We start from the raw sequence: 22,534 nt of genomic DNA, 5'->3' as shown, positions 1-22,534 counted from the left end.
AGGATTTACAAATGTACATACATATACACATATATTTGTACATATGTACATATATGTGTATTTGTGTGTATATGTTTGCAAATGCATAGGCTGTATCTAAAATTATACACAGAGAACTAGCAATAGTGGTTGCCTCTAGGGTGAAGAATTGTGGATGCAAAAAGACTTTTTTCCTGGGCTCCTCTTTTGTATAGTTTAAATTTTCTGTGTGCACATATTACTTTCAAATTTAAACAAAGTTTATAAAACTAACGATAAAAGACTGTGTGGTAAGTGGCAAATGAATAGCATAAGACAACATGAGAGGCTCTCAGAGGAAGGAAGGCTTGCTATTGGCTAGGGCAGGCAGGCAGTTCATGGAGGAGGAGGGGGTCTTCAAATGAGCTCTACAGGATGGCTAGAATTTAGGGACAGGGAAGAGTTGTAGGAGAGCAGGGTGAGACACCAGTCCAATTAGAAGACACAAAATATGCAAACTTAGTCTTAGGTGAAAAATTGACCTTTGCCTGAGGCAAAGGAAAGTGGTGGTATTTTATTCATTTAATGTATACACCAGCTCATTCCCAAATACATATTAAGAAGCTTATAAAGTGGCTGGCGAGGTGGCTCATGCCTGTAATCCAACATCTTTGGGAGACAGATGCGGGAGGATCATTTGAGGCCAGGAATTTGAGACTAGCTTGCTAACATAGTGAGACCTTATCTCTACAAAAAGAATCTTAAAACATTAGCTGTGTGTGGTGGTGGGTGCTGTAGTCATAGCTACTTGGGAGGCTGAGGCAGGAGTATCACCTGAGCTCAGGAGTTCAAGACTACAGTAAGCCATCATCACACCACTGCACTCCAACCTGGGCAAGAGTGAGACCCTAAAAACAGGAAAAAAAAAAAGCTTATAAGATAACTTTTACTATGGACAGAAAGATGGTGTACCAGCTCTTTCAATACTAGTTCTTTCTGTCACCAAATTTTATAAATGTCTCATGGAAATTCACATACGGGACAGTACGTTGTGGCACTAGGCGGGATCAATGTGATCCAGGAGAATGCTCAGGAGTGTCTTGGCTGAAGGCCTTTCGGGATGCAGGTGTCCACTGGTCTACTTTAACAGAGTTCTTGGAAGAGTAGCTGAGAATTCTTTGTGTTGTTGCGTGTTTGTGTGTTGGGTTTGTAATGAGAGACAGACAGCAGGTGATACGAGGGCAGAGCCTAGGTGGCTGGCATTCTGCATTGCGGGTCCACGGCAAGTCCCATGTTTTAAGAATCAAACAAACAGGTAGAAGTGTACACATCTTATTATGAAAGAATAATAAGAAAAGAAAGCAGCAACCAGCGTTTTGCCAGGGTGACAGACAACTTTCCCTTCCCCTGGTGTCTCCCAAGACACATCCAGCATTATCCTCAGAGAGCTTTGTCTTATTCCAGCACTTGTGTCACTGTTGAGTCTCCAGTATTCAACGCTAAGAGAGAATGTCAGATATGACATTGACCTAAGCATGTTCAAGTCTGCCGATTTCCGCGGCTGTGGAATAAGTATCTAATGTTAAGCAATATGAATTGTGTGGTAGGCTGGAAATGTAGATTAGGACTAGGCTATGTTGAACTACTCTCAGTAGTTTACACTTTATTTAACGGGTAATGGGTCACTATTGAAGGTTTGTGAATAAGGAAGCACAGAAAAAGATGCCGCTGATGCGATGGGTGATTTGTCAAGTGGCAGTATATGGGATGGAACTGAGGAAAAAGAGACCAGTGGGAGGTAAATGTAATACTTTTTAATTTAATTTAATTTTGTAGAGACAGGGTCTTGCTTTGTTGCCCACGCTGGTCTTGAACTCCTGAGCTCAAGTGATTCTTCCACCTCAGCCTCCCAAAGTGCTGAGATTGCAGGCATAAGCCACAGCCAGTTGTAATACATTTAGAGCCTGTATTAGGGTAGTGGGTGGTAGAATCAAAGGGAGAGGGTTTGAATACTCTAGAAGGAGAACTGGCAGGTCTTTATGACTGAATGTGGGAGCTGAGGAAAAGGGCAAGATGACTGAGATCTGGACCGCAAGTGATTTAAAAGAACAATAGAAATGATAGCAGAAACAGAGAAGGTGTCAGGAGGGAAAGCTTGTATGGAGGGAAGATAAATTTGCTTTTACACATGTTAATTTTGAGAGATGGCAGAATATCCAAGTGAAATGATGTAGCAGTTAGCTGAAGGTAAAAGGATCAACCTGAATACCAACTAAGCAAATGTGATTTCTTATTTTTTTGTATAAATTTATGGGGTACAAGTGCAATTTTGTAACATGCATAGATTCCCTAGTGGTGAAATCAGGGTGTATCCATCACCTGAATAGCATACATTGTACCTATTAAGTGATTTCTCATCATCCACCCACCTCTCCCTTCCGAGTCTCCAGTGTCTATACCGAGTCTCCAGTGTCTATACTTCCACACTCTATGCCCATATGTACACATTATTTAGCTCCCACTTATGAGTGAGAACATGCAATATTTATCTTTCTGTGTCTGACTTGGTAAATGGGATTTTTTTTTCTAGACAGAGTCTTGTTCTGTCACCCAGGCTGGAGTGCAATGGCATGATCTCGGCTCACTGCAACCTCTGCCTCCCAAGTTCAAGTGATTCTCCTGCCTCAGCCTCCCAAGTAGCTGGGATTACAGGCAAGCGCCACCATGCCCAGCTAATTTTTGTATTTTTGTAGAGATGGGGTTTCACTATGTTGGCCAGGCTGGTCTCAAACTACTGACTTCAGGTGATCCGCCCACCTCTGCCTCCCAAAGTGCTGGGATTACAGACATGAGCCACCACGCCTGGCCAATTTTTGTATTTTTAATAGACGCGGTTTCACCTTGTTGGCCAGGCTAGTTTTGAACTCCAGACCTCAGGTGATTTACCTGTCTCGGCCTCCCAAAGTGCTGGGATTACAGGCATGAGCCACTGCTCCTGGCTGGTAAACAGGATTTCTAATGGCAGTACCTAGTATAACCCATGAAATCTTGCCAAAAAATGAACTTGAATCAGATCAAGCCTCTAAATCTGATTACCAATTCACTGGAAATTTGGGTGAGACAAACGTGTTAACAAAATGGGGATTCAATCAACAAAACCCAGAATGTGGGATATTACACAGGACTACTGAACCAACGTTTTCAACAAATAAATCTCAAGAAAAAAGTAAAAAAGAGGGAAGGAGAATCTAAAGATTAAAAGGCACTTAAAGAGCCACATCGACCAAGTGTGACTTATTGGCCTTATTTGAGTCCTGATCTAATAAAACAGCTCTTAGAAAAAAAAAAAGTACTACACAATTGAGGAAATTTGATGTCACTGAATATTCACTGACATTAAGAAATTCTTTTTAATTTTTAGATATATTTTTGTTATTGTGGTTGGGGTTTTTTAATGAGTCCTTATATGTGTGAGATATACACTGAAATCTTTACAGATGAACTGATATGATTTCTGGCATTTGCCTTAAATAATCCAGTGGGATAGGCCAGGCGCGTTTGCTCATGCCTGTAATCCCAGCACTTTAGGAGGCCAAGGCAGGTGGATCCCTTGAGCCCAGCAGTTTGAGACCGGTCTGGGCAACATGGCAAAACCCTGTCTCTACGAAAAATACAAAAATTAATCAGGTGTGGTGGCATGCAACTGTAGTCCCAGCTACTTGGGAGCCTGAGGTAGGAGAATGACTTGAGCCCCTCAACCTCCAGGTCAGGGCTGCGGTAAGCTGTGATCGCACCACTGCACTCTAGCCTGTGAAACAGAGCAAGACCCTGTCTCAAAAGTAAATAAATAAAAAACCCAATGAGGGTGGGAAATGGGGACAGTTGGGTACAGAGGAAACAAGAGTGGCCAGAAATTGATGATTGTTGGACTTGGGTGATAGTACCTGGGGAGGGGGTTGTGGTTATACAGTTCTTCCTATTTTTGTGTATGTTTAAATTTTTTCCATAGTGACAGGTTTTTAAAGTAAGTAAAGGAGAGAGTTCACCCCACGAAAGTCAACACTTCCCTGTGAAAGTGAATGTCTATAGACAGGTGAGCAGGTATCCCAAACTGAGTCCTGGGAAAGTTTCATATTGAAAGTGTAATTAGGAAAAGAGGAACTACAGATTTCCAGAATAGTAACAATGCACTCTGCTGGCAAAAAATCAGTGCTTTGGAATTCAGTAAGCCTGGGTTTGATTCCACCTCTCACTCTTACTAGATCTGTCATCTTACGCACATCACTTAACTTCTGTAAGCCACCAAGTCTCAGTTTTCTTATCTGTAAAAGTAGGGATAATAATTTCCTCTACCTCATAGAGTTATTTTGAAGGTTAAATGAAACATGTGTATACAGCACCTTATAGTCTGCCTGTCACAAAATAAGTGCTCATTAAATGTTTGCTATATTATTATTTTATTACTGAATACAATATCATAAAAGGTAAGGAAACACCATAATATGTAGTTTGACAGAAAGCAAAATTTAAAAAAATGTTTTGAGACAGGGTCATGCTCTGTCACCCAGGCTGGAGTGCAGTGGTGCAATGATGGCTCACTGCAGCCTCAACCTCCTGGGTTCAAGCAATCCTCCCACCTCAGTCTCATGAGTAACTGGGACTACAGGCGTGCGCCACCACACCTGGCTAATTTTTGTATTTTTGTAGTGATAGGGTCTCCCCATGTTGCCCAGGCTGGTCTCGAACTCCTGGGCTCAAGTGATCTGCCTGCCTCAGCCTCCCAAAGTGCTGGGATTACAGGCGTGAGCCAGTGGGACAGCCACAAGATAAAATTTTGATGAATGGGCAATGGCAATGGTGCCATGTTACAATCAAGGAGTCTGATGCCTTTACCAGATTAGGTAAAATAGAGAATTAGATAATTCAAAGTTCACTGATGATATCATGGTGTTCATTTCATAGAGATGTGTCGAGTACAACTAGATGACAAAAAATTAAGCTAGGAGTGGTGGGAAGCCATGGGAGCAGAGGGTACTATGAATTTCCTTATTTGGTGATGAAAGCAGAGAAAGGAACAGAGCATCAAAGACTCCTTTCAAAGTAGGGGAGCTCTTGCAAGTCTGCAGGAAGAAAGAAAGCAACTTACAGAGCCCAAGGAGATGCTGAGGCAGGAGCGGTGCACCCTCAGCCAAGGAAGAGGGAAGGAGGGCTGGTCCTGTGGTGAGGTTGGAGATTCAGAGAAGTCGGTTTACAACGGAATAGGTTTGGCGAATAAAAACAGCACAAAGCCAAGAGAGGAATCAGCATTTCCAAAGACACCGTGGAAGGAACTGCGAAGAAAGAAAAATAATGGAAACAGAAATGATCGGATGGGGAAGGGAGAAGCGCAGAGATGTTTGGGAATGGGCGAGAAGAGCGTTGAGATTTGGGCTAGCGGCTGAAGGTGGCAAGGGTGGAAGGGCTGGCTCTAAACCAGAGCTGACTCTATGGGGTGCAGGCCTGGCTCCCAAGCAGCGGCAGCCAGCACTCTGTCCTGCCGTGGAGATTGTTTGTGGCCTTTGAAGCCATCTTCTCTTGGGCGATTGGAGAAGGGCGTCAACTGACACCGGGTAATAAATGTGCGTTCACAGTGGCCCGTGGTGGAACAGAGCCCTCCAGCTGCCCGGGGTGGAACTGCAGGTGCCTGGTAGAGAGCAGAGCACCCTCCCCAGAAAGTCCAGGGAAAAACACAGTAGAAAGCAAATCCAGCCAGTGAGGCTCAGGGGTCATGATCAAAAGTGTCAACATGTAAAATCCTTTATTTGTATATAATTACTGAGCCTTTCACTCTACTTATACCTTTATCTCCACTCCCTTTCAGCTTACATCTATGCCTCATCCCAAGAAGGTCACAGCGCTGGATTCTTGTACTACCTAATAAGAGAAAAACCCCTGGAAATGTAGTGACTTGCTTGGAGTAAGAACTACTGAGTCTAAATGTCAGACTTTCCAACAAAGGAGATTAAGATTGGGTAGGAATACCTTTGAAATCTAGATTCATCTGGATTATGATGTCATATTTAGGTATCTTTTTAAATGTAGATACATATGGCCTAACCCTCTTCTTGTCCTCCAATATTCACTGCTCCTCTTCTCTCACACTAATAGAATTTTTAGCTGGAAACACAGTTTCCCAAAAGAAAGACTGTGTATCTCAGCTTCCCTTAAGAAAGACTGTGTATCTCAGCTTCCCTTGCAGCTAGGTGTGATGAAGTTGACCTGACAGGATATAAACAAAATATTGGTAGTAAGCTCCTGGGGAGCTTCCTAGAAAGACAGTCAGTGTGAGCCTTCTACCCTTTTTTTATTCCTTCCTCTACCCTGCTGCCTGGAATTTGAGTCTAGTCCCCATCTTGGACCACAAAGACAGTGGCACAGCCTCAGGATGAGGAAGCAAAGCTGAAAGAGAATTGATCCTTAAGACTTGCAGTAAACACATATCAGACCTTCACTGTCTGCCCTTGAAGTTGTACAGGATTAGGATAAAACTTCCATTTTTTTTTTCTTTTTTTATAGAGACAGGGTCTCACTCTGTTGTCAGGCTGGAGTTCAGTGGTATGATGATAGCTCACTGCAGCCTCAAACTCCTGGGCTCAAGCAATCCTCCTGCTTCAGCCTCCTGATTATCTAGGATTACAGATGCACACCACCACTCCTGCTCATTTTTAAATGTTTATGTAGAGGTGGGGTTTCACTATGTTACCCAAGCTGGTCTGAAACTCCTGCCTCAAGTTATCCTCCCACCTCAGTCTCCCAGAGTACTGGGATTACAGGCATGAGCCACCGCACCCAACCTAAAATTTCTATTTTGTTTATGCTAATGTTATTTGGCAATTTTCTGTACTTTCAAACCTAATTCTAATTGACATACTAAGTATTAAAATAAACTAGTCAATGGGAAGAAAAAGATAATGCAAAAGGTAATGACTTGATATTTAAGAATCTCAATAATTAAGAGAAGCAGTATTCTAGGCAGTGGGATCTGTTGGAGCAGACACTTGGGACAGAGGGAGCATAGCACTTTTGTTCATGCAGAACAAAGCATGACAAAACAGTGCTCTCCTACACAGCATTAGTAGCCAATTAAAGTGTTGTGGAATGAAGCTTAGAGAGTGAAGTTTTAAAGGTTAGAAGAAGTCACCAATGGACTTGTAGAAAAGGACTGCTAAACCTCACTTTGGGTTGCAGACAATAAAGCAATAGGCAGGGGTCCCAGTACACACAACTGGGTAACCCCCCAGCAGCATTCAGGAGCTCATGCAGAAGACAGGATAGATGAAGAGGGGAGGAGTACACAGTGAGGCATCAGGATGGGGCAGGTACTTGGGGAGAAGCTGAAAGAATGGGGGCCTCCATGAGGTTCAAGCAGGTGAAATAAAATCAGTCAGGCAGGAAGGATGGGAAGCTATGGTTATAGGCAGCACATGGATGTACTTCAGAAATGGAGCAGTTCCAGGTGATGTCCTCAATGAACATGGGAGACTGAGATTTGGGGATGGGATGGCAGCTTGAGGGTGGTGGGAGGAAGCCATAGCAGAGTTTTGCTAGGTGAGAGCTAGGGGACTATGGATACTAGGCCAGGTCCAGGAGTGTGTATTTGAGGGAGAATGGGGAGCATTGCCTGGAGAGGAGTCCTCCACTTGCCTGGAGAAGAGTACAGAGGGGGTCCTGTCTTTCAGGGAGAGACTGAGGCTGGGTCACAACTCAAACAGCTACACAGAAAAGTCAGGTGCAAAGCATTAGGCAAATCACTCAAAATATGTCTTCAGCCAGGGTTCCCACCATGGGCTTCCAGGTTTGTTTGGTTTAATATATCTTTTTACTGTGGTAAAATATACATAACATTTATCCTTTTAAATTGTATAGTTCAGTGGCATTAATTATATTCCCACTGTTGTGCAACTATCACCACTATCCTTTTCCAGAACTTATCCATCATTCCAAACTGAAACTTTGTACCCATTACACACTAACTCCCCACTCTCGCCTCTCCCCCACCCCCGGTAACCTTTTATTTATTTATTTATTTATTTATTTATTTATTTATTTATTTATTTATTTTGAGATGGAGTCTCGCTCTGTCGCCCAGGCTGCAGTGCAGTGGCACAATCTAGGCTCACTGCAAGCTCCGCCTCCCGGGTTCACGCCATTCTCCTACCTCAGCCTCCCAAGTAGCTGGGACTATAGGTACCCGCCATCACGCCCGGCTATTTTTTTTTTTTTGTCTCTATTTTTAGTAGAGACAGAGTTTCACCGCGTTAGCCAGGATGGTCTTGATCTCCTGACCTTGTGATCCGCCCGCCTCGGCCTCCCAAAGTGCTGGGATTACAGGCGTGAGCCACCGCGCCTGGCACCCCTGGTAACCTTTATTCTACTTTCTGTTTCTATGAATTTTGCCTATTCTGAGTACCTCATATGAGTGAAGTCATAAAATATTTGTATGACTTTTGCATCTGGCTTATTTCACTTAGCATAATATCCTCAAAGTTCATCTATCGTGTAGCATGTGTCAGAATTTCCTTCCTTTTAAGGCTGAATAATATTTTACTGTATGTCTATACCACATTTTGTTTATTCATTCATCCATCAATGGACGTTCAGGTTGTTTCCACATTTTGGGGGCAGCTAGGATTTATTTATTTATTTATTTATTTATTTTTGAGTCTCGCTATGTCGCCCAGGCTGGAGTGCAGTGGCAGTGGTGCGATCTCTGATCACTGCAAGCTCCGCCTCCCGGGTTCATGCCATTCTGCCTCAGCCTCCCGAGTAGTTGGGCCTACAAGTGCCCGCCACCACACCCGGCTAATTTTTTGTATTTTTAGTAGAGACGGGGTTTCACCGTGTTAGCCAGGATGGTCTTGATCTCCTGACCTCGTGATCTGCCCGCCTCGGCCTCCCAAAGTGCTGGGATTACAAGCGTGAGTCACCGCGCCTGGCCTGGGGGCAGCTAGGATTTTGACCACCTGTGGTACAGGCTTAATTGCAGTGAAAGGACTGAGGGGAAAAGGAAATTTCACAGAGAAAGGGAGAAATCCAGAGCAAAAGAGGGAAGTCATCCACCGTCTCTTTGTACAAATGTGGAAATGGAAGTTGGTAAAAGCCTGAATGACTCAAAGTCACAGAGAACTCGTCTTCCAACCTTAGGACTGCTTTTCCTTCTAGTTTACCATCAAACTGGTTGGAACTCAGCGGAACTCCATGACAGGCAAGGATTATGGGTAGAGCCAGAGAAGCAGACCCCAGAACCCTAAGAGCAGAGGCTGGAACCCCAGGTCATGATGCCAGAGCAGCTCAGAAACAGAGCTAGAGAGACATTATTCCAAGGCAAAGCCATCAAAGCTTCTTTGAGCTCGCTTCACGTGGTCATTGATCCTTTCTGCATCTCTGCCTTTGCCGCTTACTTTCCCTTTTCTGACATTTCCATCTTGTTCCTTTTCTTGCTCTCTGCAGGATAAGAACAATCTCTGCTGAGCAGGTAAAAGATTATCTAGGTATCAAAGTACCATCTATACCCCTCCTAGAGAGATTCATATTTTAAGGGGAAACTTTAGAAAATCAAAAACTTCAGGATCCAAAAGAATCAGCCTATAATGGTACAATGGAGGAGCATGAGGGTGATGGATTCAGGCCTGAGTCCTCCTCCACTGCTTGTTGGAAGAGCATGTTAGAAGGGTGCAAAGATGAAACTACCCACCCAGCTCTCCTTCCCTTGCAAAGAATGGAGGCTCACTCAAAAATGGGCTAGGGCTTGGTTTTGTTTGACTTTTCAGAAGCCAATTTTAGCCCCCTTGAGGAAAAAAATGCATCTTATATTTATTTTACCATTCATGCAGTGTGCACTAAAGCACTCTGCACATTGTAAGTTATCAGTCAAACCTATTAGGATGACTAACTGCTGGCCAAATATATCAAACTTGGATGAAGATGTCAGGATAATATAGAAGAATTGCTTTCATTGCTATTTGATTCCTCAGATTTATCATGGGTCAATAATAACACATAAATATCACCAATGAAGACTATTTTTCTTCTTTCTCAATCTTTGACAGTATTGAACATGATATCCTTCATTAAATACTTGCCCTATTTTTATCTATTTTTTTAGTTTCTTCCTTATATACAAATGTTACCTCGCTTTTATAATACTTAAAGCATAACAAAATCTAGACTGTACCAGATTCCTCTGCAAACTTATTACAATTATTTTTTGTCTCTAATAATCAGCTCTGTTTTGTCTCTAGTAATCATCTATTACCCATGAGCAAATGCAAGTACATATGAATCCCCCTTAGAGAATCAGAGTTGTGAAAAGGTAATTTATTTCCTTTTTAGATTTCTTTATACTTCTTGTATTATATATGAGAGATATATATGGTTATTATGGTGATTTCCATGAAAACCAAATGTCTCCAAGTCCACAGTAGAATGTGTACAACAGTATCCGTAACTACTATTTGACCAGTGTCTTAAGGTTTACGGCACACATTATTCTCATTTGATACTTGTATCAGTACTGCGAGGTGGTCAAGATGGCAAATAGTTGCCCAATTTGTAAATGTAGAAACTAAGTCTCAGACATAACTCGAAGAAGGTATAAAGCTCGCTGACTTAGTCCTCAGTCTTTTAGTCCCACATCTCACCCTCTTTCCACTCTCCCTTTCTCTAGTCATCATATCTGCTTATCTCTACTAGGCTGGCAGTGTCTTTTCAATGCCCAATTAACTGGAAATTTCTGCTAAACCAACAAATGCAGCAAACAGCACTCTTAGATCTCATTTTAAATATGTTTATTTCAAGTAGTCACCTAATCAGGTTTGGCATGCTTATAAATAAGCCTGAAATGTACTGTATTTCCATTATAGATATACTCTTAAAACTAGCTATTAAAAATGTTTCATTATAAACACTTTAAAAAAATCCTTTACCATTCCATCAAGTTTGGAAATAAGATTTTTCAACAGGTTTAAAAAGTGAAAAATGCAGTTAGCTAGAATGTAAGTGAAGTGTAATTTTAGGACTTTTACCAAATTAGAGTGTCTAAAATGTTTTCTAAACTCAAAATTATTCAAGCCTACCTCCAAAAGAAAAGCCATTTCTCCAGCATTTATTATTCTCTTATCATTTGTTTATAATAGCTATTTGACAGGTCCTATAAACAGATAAGATTCATGTTTGAATAATATTTTTCTGTAGAAACAGTAAATAACTATAATGCCTATTTCTTCTGCTTGAAATATTGTTTTCATTAGATAAATTGAGCGGCATAAGAGCTTATGTTAATTATAGCACAGAGCATAGAAACAAATTTTTCTAACTAAAAGTGCATTATTACTTTACTTCTATATTTCATTTATTTTTTGCTTATTTTATTAAACTCTCCCCACTTATTTTTTATTTTTTATTATTTACTAAGTTCTGCTCCCTTCCACAAAAGTGTAACAAAGTAAACAGCCTAGTAGTACAGTAATGAAAAAACCAACAAGGATCTCCTTCAGAGTTAGGCTGAAGGGAAACAATTCGCAGTAGTTAAGATTTATTCCCCTATCCTCCCCTCTAAATATTACATAGCTCAACAAAGAATTCTTGTTTAACTTTATTGGAAAGTGTGTAGCAGAACCATGTTTAGAAATACTACAGATCCAAAGGCACATATGTTATCATTGCTAGCTAGGAGGGAGCACTGGGAAAATGAGAATTCCAATTTGTTACACTGACGTCTCATATAAACAATAGAAATATTAACAGTACCAGGATTTTTTTAAAAAAGCCAGTAACAAAGCAATTTCTTAACCTATCGATAATTACTAGCCTACAAATTAATAATAAGCCCAGCTTACTGCTCTTTTCTTCTGGTCCTTCCTTTAATGATTATTGGGGCATGAGTTTCAGCTGTTTTAAAGTTTCAGCATCTGAGTTTAAAGTGAACATTTCTGCCCATGTGCATTGAACATCGAGCCACTGTTCCTGATTTCATTTCACAAACCACACACACTTTCTGCTAAAAGAGATTTGTAATTGTTTGTGGTGTAAAACGTCATTATCAGTTTTAAATTTATATAATTTAAAAAAATGCTATTCTTATAAAGTGGAAAATTTTAAAACTGAAAAATACAGCAATATAAAATGAATCAATCAGCAAAGATCTCAGGCTACTTGTTTGGTTTTCTGCGCCCATCACTGTGTATCCTAAAAGGGTTATTGGGCTCTGCCAGTATTGTCAGGACCGTCCTAGGAAACCGGAACAATGCAGCCCATGCTCCAAAGGGCTGGCGTGGGACGCGCCCCAGGTCGGACCGCAGCCCACGGCAGTGCAAGGCTACCGGTGCGCGGCAAAGGAAGGGGTTCCACGGGCGCCCTTAACGCTCACGCTGGGGAAGGAGGTGCAGGAAACGAAAGAAGCAGGGAGGAGACGGAGAAGTGCTGCAGCAGCTTGAGTCGGCAAGTTGAGAGAAGTGAAAGCAGTCCAGGTTAGGCGGAACGCGAAGAAGGGCTGGAGGAGCGGCCCAAGGTAAAAGATCCAGCCGCAGACGAAAGCGGTAACTGGATTAGGAGGGCCCTATTAAGCGAATTTAAGGAGATAGGACTTTATCCCGAGAGCAACAGAGAGCCCATAAAAGATCGTAAACAGGAGTGACACGAACAGATTTACATTAAAATAAAGCATCTGACTGGCTGTGCTGTCGAGACAGGGGAGGGGCAAGGGCGGAGGCGGAGAGAGCGGTGAGCGGTCGCCGGAGGTCCAGGTGGGAGACGCCGCGCCCCGCACCGAGGTATGAGAGCTGCAGCAGCGACAACCAGGCGGCCTGAAGTGCAGACGCAAAACGGATCCCGGGGCTAGGTGAATTGGGGTAGGGGGATAATGACCAGATTGTAGTGTTGTCTTTGCTGAGACAGGAAACACGCGAGGCTTGTAGGGAAGGTGCCCAGCTCCGCTGAGAACACCTAGATTTTGAGATTTCTGTGGCACCCAAGTTAAATATGCCTGGACTTCAGGACACGGGGGTTCCGAAAGCAGGATGACGCGCCCGGAGGGGACGAGACGGTCCAGAGCACGCCCGGGAGAGAGGGCGGCCCAGACGGCACCGGCCTGCGCTCCAGCCCTCCCTCCCTCACACACGCGGAATCTCAAAACATGCGGTGAGACAGGTGGGGTATTCATTGGTCTAATTCTGCAGGTAGGGAAAATGAGAGCTTGGGGTAGGGGCTTATGCATGACCACCTGGCAGTGAATCTCCCAGCCAATACAAGCCTCACTCTACCCTCCTACAAATTAATTCAATGCATCCGATTGTTGAAACACATTCGTTCTCAAATTTTTAATAGAGTGCATTGCAGAAATGGCTTTTGCTTTATAAATGCCTTTTGTTCCTCTTTCTCCCAACCCTATGATAAAATATCAAGTGACCAACTTTCAATTTTAATAAATATCACCAGGCATCAGAAACATGTAAGCACTTTTCTCTTAAACCGAACGGAGGAAAATCTTAGAACGTGTGTCCACCAGTCAGTGAATAACTTCTCTAAGTTCTCTGTCCTGCATAAATAAACCTTGACAGCTCTGGCAGTACGCTTATTAGCTCAGCACATCCATCCCCGCTTTTCCCATCTCCAGGACATGCCAGCCCCTCCCGCACACCTCGGGCTGCACCACCTGCTCCCGGCGCCTCCCCGCCCCCGGCTCGCCCGCGCCGGTTCTCACGCGCGGCCAGCGCCCTTCCCCGCCGCTCCCGCCCCTTTCACTTCCGCACAGCTTAGGAGTCGGGGCCAGCGCCTCCGCTCCCACCTTCCCAGCCCCTCTGCTCCCACCTTCCCAGCCCCTCTGGCGCGCCCGCTTTTCCACACCCACAGCCAGCCGCCGCTCCCCCCCGACGAAGTTCCCCCTCCAGAGCCGCCCCCTAAGAAGACTTCAGGGGCGGTCCCTGGAGTCTGGCGCTGATTGGCTGATCAGCAGCGCCCCGCCCCCTGGGCACGCGCAGGAGGTGGGGCGGTCCTGAGGCGGGCGCGCGCCGCGCGGCCCCGCAGGCTGAGCGTTCGTGACCCGCGTGCTGGCCCCGGCGTCCCGGCCCCGGAGTCTGCGAGGCGGAGGCGGGTGGCGGCACATGCCGCGGCCGCCGCGGTGCGACCCTGGGCTTGGGGGGATTTTTTTGGCCTGGAGGGCTCCTCTTCTCCGGCGGCGGTGAGCCGGGCATCCCGCGGGGACTGGTAGCTGCCCGAGGGGCCGCCGCCGTCGCCAGTCCGGTAGCCCGGATGTCGCTGCCCCCTGCGGCGGGGCCGCCAACGCGCTGCTTGGCCCCGGGAGGAGGATCATCTTAAAGGGACAGCGCCGCGTTCGGGCGGAGGGGGCGGCGCGTCCTGCCCTCAGTTCGCGACCCTGCCCCCGGGGTACGCCGCGGCGCCTGCTGCCCAGACCCCTTCCCCGGGCCGGGCGCCGTGGGAGCGCCGCGCGCTCTGACTGGATTAGCCGCAGATGGCCGACTAGAGCCAGGTTTTCCTCCGGCCGGAGCAGTGGCCGGTGGCGCCGCACGGGGCCGGGAGGCGCCGGCCTGTGATTGGCCGAGGCCGCGGTGAATGCAGGACATTGTCTGGTCGCGGCCGTCTCCGTCCCTGCCCGACCGCCCTTCCTGGGATCAAAATGGGTGCGGAGCGAGGGTCCTGGACAGCCCCGCCTGGGGGCCTTTCAGTGGTGGGAACACCGTAGGGGAAAATGTAACTGTTTTGAGATTCTGAGACTGGCATAAAGGTGCTGATTTAAAATACAAGCTCAGCTTTAACAAGGAGATAAAATACTTGGATTTGACATAAAGCTTTCCTTTAAGATGAAAAATATTAAGGTAGTTGAAAAGGGTCAAGTGTTATGAAAATGACTTGGCTTTGTCTTCAGGATTCTTTTAATTAGGACCTGTGATAAGTCATCTGAATGTCCTTTGTAAAATGTTAAGGAAAAGTATAATATATATGGTCATAGTTTCCATGTGTGTAAAGACGCGAGACTGCTTAGCTTTCCCAGTTTGCTTCCATTGTTAAAATACTGATTCTGACTAGAGTTGAAATCTTGATGTGTCCTATGGATTGAATCGTATCTCAAGGCCTTGGAGTAGATGAGACCTTTGAAAGAGCCCTTGAGAAGATGATAATTCTCCCAAGATTATCTTTGAAAATACGTGGGTGTTATTTAAGTGAGGTTGTAATCTCGTAGAGTGTAATTGTGGAGTAAATGAAAATTAGGCTGGGCGCAATGCTGTAGTCCCAACTACTTGGGAGGTTCACTTGAGCCCTGGAGTTTGAGTCCAGCCTGGGCAACATAGTTAAACCCCTGTCTCTTTAAAAAAAAAAAAAAAAGAAAAAGAAAATTAAAACAATAGAGGAATATGTGAAGACACCCGTGAAATAAGAGATACACATGATAAATGAAGATTTTGAATAAAATAAACTTGGTATTTGCTTTAAAAAAACTGGGTAGAAAAAATATTGTAAAGTTAAAAGCAGACGTGTAGAGATAGAGATTTTTTTAGCATCAGTTTCATATCTTTTCAAAACTAAAAAACCTGATTTTATTTGAGTAATCAACAACAATTAAGGACTTGGAAATGACAAACAAATGAAGGAAAGACTTCAGAAAGAAGATAAATTTAATGACATGATTCATTGCAAGAGACATGACCTCATTTCTTATTAGAATGATTTCCACTAAACCAGATTTGATGTTAATTAAATTTACAGACTTTCCTCAAATTTATACTAATGCAATATGTCTTTTTTTTTTTTGGTAAGGAAAAGAGAAAAGATATAAGGAAAATTGTAAGACGTTGCCGCTTCCTCATATGACAGTTTTCTAGACGCCTCACCCTCATCCATCATAATACAGGAATAAAAAAAGCAGAAATAACTAGCATGATTTCTGATAGCTGTCCCTAGAAGTGAACCATAAATAGTTGTGTGAGTGAAGCAGATTTAGTTTTATTTAAACTCCTAGCGCTTAAATTCTTAATTTTTATAATTAAACTGGTTTTACTTAAAAGTTATTGAGTGATTAAAATTTAGAGATTAAGCTGAGTGAAATAAAAAGTTGTTTATAATAAACCCAAACATTAGGCAATATGATGTAGGCTATAAGGTATAAAATGCCTCAAAAAATAAGTTTGAGACTTTTCCAGCATGTGTTTTCCTTAGGATTTTTGCTTTGGCATTAAATATGTAACTTTATATAGAGTGATAATATTTATAGAACACTTGGTATATGTCAAACACCATTCTAAGTATTTTATTTAATCTTCACAAAGATTTTAGGAGGCAGGTACAGTTATTATCCCATTTTAAAGATTTGGAAACATGCTCTAGAGGTTAAGTAACTTGCCCAAGGCCTGACGGTCGGTGGGTATAGAACTGGGATTCCAGCCTGATTGCTCAAAGCCCTGTGGCTACGTATTTTCAATCACTCACTAAACAGACTTATAGCTATATATATGAATATTCATTTTTCAACTTAGAGATTATTAATTCATTTTTATCAGACCTCTTGGACAGTTTACTAATTTAGACATTTTTGCATTAGCCTTTTCATTCATTTATATTTCAGGTGGCTATGTGAGTATAAGATGGCCATCTGTTAAGTCAAGCACCCGTATAATTTTTAACGGAATTATCCCTTCAAATTTTCTTCTTCTGTCCTCTTTTATTGATTGATGGATTGAGACAGGGTCTTGCTCTGTCATCCCAGGCTAGAGTGCAGTGTCGTGATCACAGCTCATTGCAGCCTGGACCTCCCAGGCTCAGTTGATCCTCCTGCATCAGCCTCCTGTAGCTGGGACTACAGGCACACACCACTACACCCAGCTAATTTATTTACTTTTTTTTTTTTTTTTGAGAAAGAGTCTCACTCGGTCACCCAGGCTGGAGTGCAGTGGCACGATTTTGGCTCACCACAACCTCTGCCTCCTGGGTTCAGCGATTCTCCTGTCTCAGCCTCCCAAGTGGCTGAGATTACAGGCACACATCACCACGCCTGGCTAATTTTTGTATTTTTAGTAGAAACGGGGTTTCACCATATTGGCCAGGCTGGTCTTCAACTCCTGGCCTTGTGTTCCATGCCCCCCCCCCACCTTGGCCTCCCAAAGTGCTGAGATTACAGGCGTGAGCCACCGCACCCGGCCTAATTTATTTACTTTTTTTAAAGATAGCGCCTTGCCATATTACCCAGGCTAAGTGTGGAACTCCTGGGCTCAAGTGATCCTCCCGCCTTGGCCTCCCAACGTGTTGGGATTACCGGCATGAGCAACCACACCCAGCCTTCTGTGCTCTTTTGAACAGACCCTTGGCATGGATAGTGGGTGCATGGGTAAGTCTTTCCACTTCCTGTCTCTCTGTTACCTTTCCCCCTCTTTTTCTTCCTTCAGACCTATTGCTCCATAGAACTCTATACCTACTGGCTGTGTTTACGGCATCTAATGTGTTAGTCCCCGAAGATGTGTTAGCATACTCAGTCACTCAATTGTTGGCTGAATGCCTACAAATCACCCAAACCTTCAGAAGATGGAGAAGGGAGGAGGAACCAAGAGGGCAAGACAGGAATGTTGGAGGTTCATTAGCGTGGCTGAGATGAAGGACTGTGTTTTTAAAATTTTCTTTTGCCTCTCTTCTTCAGTCTATACCTTTGGCTGAGAGCTGGCACATCGCTAATGGCAATCAAGGCTAACGGGTCACTACCCCTTACAGTTCCTGTGGTCTCTCTCTTTAGGCACTGGTTCTGTAGTTTGTGGCCATTAGAGCGCTCATCTGTAGCTCTGCCGAAGACAGGAGAAAAAAGAGTGTAGTCAGTCTCAGATCAATCCCAGTTGTTGCTTGTTTACAGTGCCTATATAAGGAGGGTTAAGAAGTTAGAAATAAAATTATTCTGAAGGGGATGATTTGTGACTTATTAATCCATGTGATTTTCGATGCTCATTATCACTGAAAATTGAGTTGGCTAAGTCTGTTTAACTTTTGTGATTAAGGATCAGTGTGAGGATTTGATGTTTGGGCTGAGAGGCAGAAAAAGATTGTATGCACACATCCTCCCACTTAGCACTTAGTTCTCTTTATCTTTGGCCAACAACTGGTTCTCTAGCTCCTGTACAGTGAAGTGACATCTAGGGAACAGCATGGAGGAAGGGACAGCAGCTGGCAAGCCCGACCTATCGAGTCACTCTGCCATCGGGGTAACAGGCATGGCTGTGCCCAGTGTCTTAACATCCGAGGTGCCCCAGGGGCAGTGGAGACACCTCTTCAGGCCCTACTAAAGAGAACCACCTGGCCTCTTATTAGCTAATGGATGTGTCTTTTTTTTTTCAGAGTTCCATAATTAAGCGTTTACCATGTGATATTTCTCTAACCCAGATATTAAAACATAGTACAAATATTTAAAAATATTTTAAATCTGATAACAAGCACATAGTTTTCCGGATCTTTTTTCTAGTGTTTCTTAGGGCTCAACAGGTGGCCACTCTTCCTTGCCTCTAGTGCATGGCCCGACTCTGGCTGTGCCATCTTCTCCTCTCAGGCTAGGGGAGGGCCTGGCTTCCCACTGCTGCTGGGCCCTGGGAGCCTCACCGTTGTTGATTCCCTTAACTCTGCCCACACTTCTTAAAAGTCTTTACAAAAACCCCTAAGGAATATGCCTTTGATGACCACCTCAGATGGTGCCTGATTCAGACACCCATCATGATCCAGCCCCTCCTTTACCTACAGTCTACACTGCTGTCTTTGTTTTCTACATCCTTGCTTCTGACGCATCAGACTGCTGCCCTAACCCACCCACCACTCTCAACCTTGCATATGCTGTTCTTTCTGCCAAGAATACGAAGACTTCCTAGAGCCCCTTCCACGTGGGCTGCCTCTATTATTGCAGTTACCACATTGCATTTTTTAATTATTTTTACATGTCTTTAATTTTTATTTTTTAAGAGATGGTGTCTTGCTTTGTCACTGATGCAGGAGTGCAGTGGCACAATCATAGCTCACGGCAACCTCAAACTCTTGGGCTCAAGTGATCCTCTCACTTAAGCCTCCCCAGTAGCTGGGACTGCAAATGCCTGGCTACCATATTGAATTTTAACTACTGCCTTGCGTTTCCAAAACTGGAAGTTCCTTGAGGTCAAAGAGGGTGTCTTACTCATCTGTACCTTTTTGGTGCTTAGCACAAAGCCTCACTTATGGTAGCACATGGGAAAGTAATAGCTGAATAATAACTGAAAATAAGTTTCTTTCTTCTGTTGATTCTTTTCCTAAATCAGCTTTCTAGGGTTTCAAAATTGAATTTTAAAAAATTTCAATCTTGTCAGTATTCATGTAGATAAAATTATGTACTTTAATCAATGTGTACATGATAGCATGCTTTTACAGTACTGTTTACAGCGATGTGCTCCTGAAAGTTCCATAAATTAATATTTGAAATTTAGGTGTTTTTAAATGTAATGTAATTTGATTTCTTGATTAGTGGTGAAGCTTTTTTTGTGTATAGTAAAGAATCATTCTGTAAGTTATATGAGTTTTTCCTGTATCAGATTTGCCTTAAATAATCCTATGTTGAACTCATTATAAATAGGTTTGACTCAGAAGTATCATTTTAGTGTTTTTTTGCTTGTGAACAGAAGAATAAGGACCACAATGTAATCATCGTATTTTTCTTCACGGGAATTCCACCATCTGTGTGTTTTGGGCAGTGGGAGAAGGGGGAGGGCAAACTTCTTCTCGGTCCCTCCTGTGTTTCTCTAGTTCTAGCAGGGACGTTTCTGTAATTGGTTTTCAACATTTGCTGAGAGTCTGTTTCCTCTTAACATTCAACATGTTTAACAGAAGTCTTGTAATAGTTCCAAAAATAATAAAACCAGTCCCAGGAATAAAAATGATACATTCACAGCATATTGGTGTTTTTTATTTTTTGTCATGGCTTTGGTTTTAAGTTCTTTTTAATAATTCCTAGTGTCAAATCACATGAAAGAAATAAAAAGGTTTTCTTCACAGTAATAAAGCCCAGTGAAGAAATGCTATCGATGACTCGTGCAGCGGGAGGAGTTGTCAGCCCAGAGGCAGTCACAGGACCATGTTGAAGGCACTCCTGGTACAGTGTGGCCATCTCAATGTCTAGCGCTTCTCTCTAGTGATGTTAAGTGGATGGTTATGGTTGCTTGTAATGCTGTAGCCTAGGACGAATGAGAGCTGATGCTTCTGATGTATCATTAATGCTGCTCTTAATCTGCTGAAATCATTCCTCACATTGTCAAATATTAACATAAAAAAGCAACACCTACTTATATTTCATCCCACCCCACCATCACCCCTAATACAGTGATTAATGTGTCCCAACAATAAATTTCTTTGCTTTAATAATTAGATGTTTGAATGAAAATAATTGGACTTCCTTTACAATTATTAATTAATTTAACATTATTATTATTATTAGAGCATCTTTAAGTGTTCAGGGCATCTGGACTTAGGAAGAGCTTTAAAATCCCAGAGAGAGATAAGAGGCAACTGCCAAGCAGGTAACTGGGGAGCTGATAACAAAATCTCTTTGATTTCATGCAAGGCATTTTAACTGTTTTTTCATCAGTAACTTGGAGTCCAAAAGACCTAAGACCTTGGCAATAAAAGCAATAATTCTGGTGAAATGTGGTCCTCTGTGTTGCTGTTACAGCATGTATCCCAGAGCCAGCAGGATTCACACCATGTTTGGGAAACTTTCGTCCTTTCCCTAAATCTGTCCCTTGCACTCTTCTAAATGAGCCCAGTTTTCCCTGGACCTGGATGGGTTGTGAACAGAAAGCCTTGTCACAAGTGTGGTTTGAACGCCAGCAGCATCCTCATGGCTGTACCTGGATCGTCTGACCCAGAGTCTAAAGACATCTTCAGGGGACTCACATGCACCCCACCACAGGAGAAGCCGGGCTGAGAGCACACCCCAAACTGAGGCCAACCAGAACCCCCCATAGCTCTCACAGTGGGAACCCCGTTGTGTATTCTGTACGCCATTTTGCAGGTTTCCAGAAAGTGGAAGGATTCAGTAGAATGAGAAGGAGTATGCACCTCACGGAGCTCCATCAATACTGCGGTTCTGGCCAGGTGCAGTGGCTCATGCCTGTAATCCCAGCACTTTGAAAGGCTGAGACGGGCAGATGGTTTGAGGCCAGAAGCTCGAGACTAGCCCGAAAGACATGGCGAAACTTCATCTCTACTAAAAGTACAAAAAAAAAAAAAAAAAAAAAAAAAGGCCGGGCGCGGTGGCTCATGCCTGTAATCCCAGCACTTTGGGAGGCTGAGGCGGGCAGATCACGAGGTCAGGAGATCAAGACCATCCCGGCTAACACAGTGAAACCCCGTCTCTACTAAAAATACAAAAAATTAGCCGGCCGTAGTGGCGGGCACCTGTGGTCCCAGCTACTCAGGAGGCTGAGGCAGGAGAATGGCGTGAACCCAGGAGGCGGAGCTTGCAGTGAGCCGAGATCATGCCACTGCACTCCAGCCTGGACGACAGAGCGAGACTCCGTCTCAAAAAAAAAAAAAAAAAGCCGGGCATGGTGGCACGTGCCTGTAATCACGTGCCTGTAATCCCAGCTACTCGGGAGGCTGAGGCACGAGAATCACTTGAACTCAGGAGGCGGAGGTTACTGTGAGCCGAGATCGAGCCACGGCACTCCAGACTAGGTGACAGAGTGAGACTCCATCTCAAAACAACAAAAACAAACAAACCAAAAAAAAAAAAACCCAAAAACATCCTGTGGTTCAAATTCAAATTATATCATCACCAAGGTAAAACCAAAAAAACAAACAGTGGTGGAGGATTGTCATTCAGTGTGTAAGCATTACATTTAAAATGTGTTTGTTTCTTAAGGCTGCTGTGAAAGTACCAGGGACTGGGTGGCGTGAAGCAACGGAACTGTATTCTCTCACAGTTCTAGACAAGAGTGGGAAATCCAGCTACAGGCAGGGCTATGCTCCTTCTGAGCTGCTGGGTAGAAACCTTCCTGGCCCAGCCTAGCTTCCAGGTTTCCTGCAATTGGCATTCTTTGGCTTGCAGCTACAGGGGAAGAGGGCACAGAACAGAGAGGGACACAGAAGCTTGGGAATGTCTCTTGGAGCGACTTTATAACCAGACTTTAGGCGACTCCCTTCGGACTCTGCGTCCTGAAGGCTGTGTTTGTAACAAGCCCCAAGTGACTCTGATGCAGGGAGACAGCCTCACTTGCAACCCACCCCATGGCATCAGGATACTGGTGAGGTCTCCCCAACGCTCTGCAGCCCACACGCACGCCCTGCCCGGAGTGCACCCCAAGTGTGCACGTAGACGAACAATTGGGGGAAGTGTGAGAATAATGGATCCAAGCTGGAGGAGCCCAGTCCCAGGGAAAGCAATTAGGAGTTTGCTGTGAGTACAGTGACAGGTGACAAAGGACCTCAACAGTGTCACGAACACTTTTATTGTTGTGAAGTCCGCACACTAACCCCAAGCCGTATGAACTAGGATGGTTCATTCACTTATCAAATATTTGAGTGCCAAATACAT

At 43.9% G+C, this 22,534-nt stretch overlaps 5 annotated features.

The window, feature by feature from the left end:
- Window positions 12,363-12,562: an enhancer, noted in NCBI's record as "active region_27424". NCBI's record gives its function as "activates an Ori minimal core promoter by ATAC-STARR-seq in GM12878 lymphoblastoid cells {active_cell/tissue: GM12878}" and the evidence as "EXISTENCE:reporter gene assay evidence [ECO:0000049][PMID:35858748]".
- Window positions 13,719-14,588: a silencer, noted in NCBI's record as "silent region_19226". NCBI's record gives its function as "represses an Ori minimal core promoter by ATAC-STARR-seq in GM12878 lymphoblastoid cells {active_cell/tissue: GM12878}" and the evidence as "EXISTENCE:reporter gene assay evidence [ECO:0000049][PMID:35858748]".
- Window positions 13,719-14,628: a biological region, named in NCBI's record as "H3K27ac hESC enhancer GRCh37_chr8:61564220-61564720".
- Window positions 14,128-14,628: an enhancer, noted in NCBI's record as "H3K27ac hESC enhancer chr8:61564220-61564720 (GRCh37/hg19 assembly coordinates)". NCBI's record gives its function as "activates a minimal SCP1, AML or CMV promoter by ChIP-STARR-seq in primed H9 embryonic stem cells {active_cell/tissue: H9 hESC(primed)}" and the evidence as "EXISTENCE:reporter gene assay evidence [ECO:0000049][PMID:30033119]".
- Window positions 15,575-15,780: a silencer, noted in NCBI's record as "fragment chr8:61563068-61563273 (GRCh37/hg19 assembly coordinates)". NCBI's record gives its function as "represses an EF-1alpha promoter that drives an FKBP-Casp9 reporter gene in an ReSE screen in K562 erythroleukemia cells {active_cell/tissue: K562}" and the evidence as "EXISTENCE:reporter gene assay evidence [ECO:0000049][PMID:32094911]".

Source organism: Homo sapiens, chromosome 8 (genome assembly GCF_000001405.40).
Source record: "Homo sapiens chromosome 8, GRCh38.p14 Primary Assembly".
NCBI lineage: Eukaryota > Metazoa > Chordata > Mammalia > Primates > Hominidae > Homo > Homo sapiens.
The sequence above is the reverse complement of the archived record's forward strand: the minus strand, read 5'-3'. Positions and strand labels throughout refer to the sequence as shown.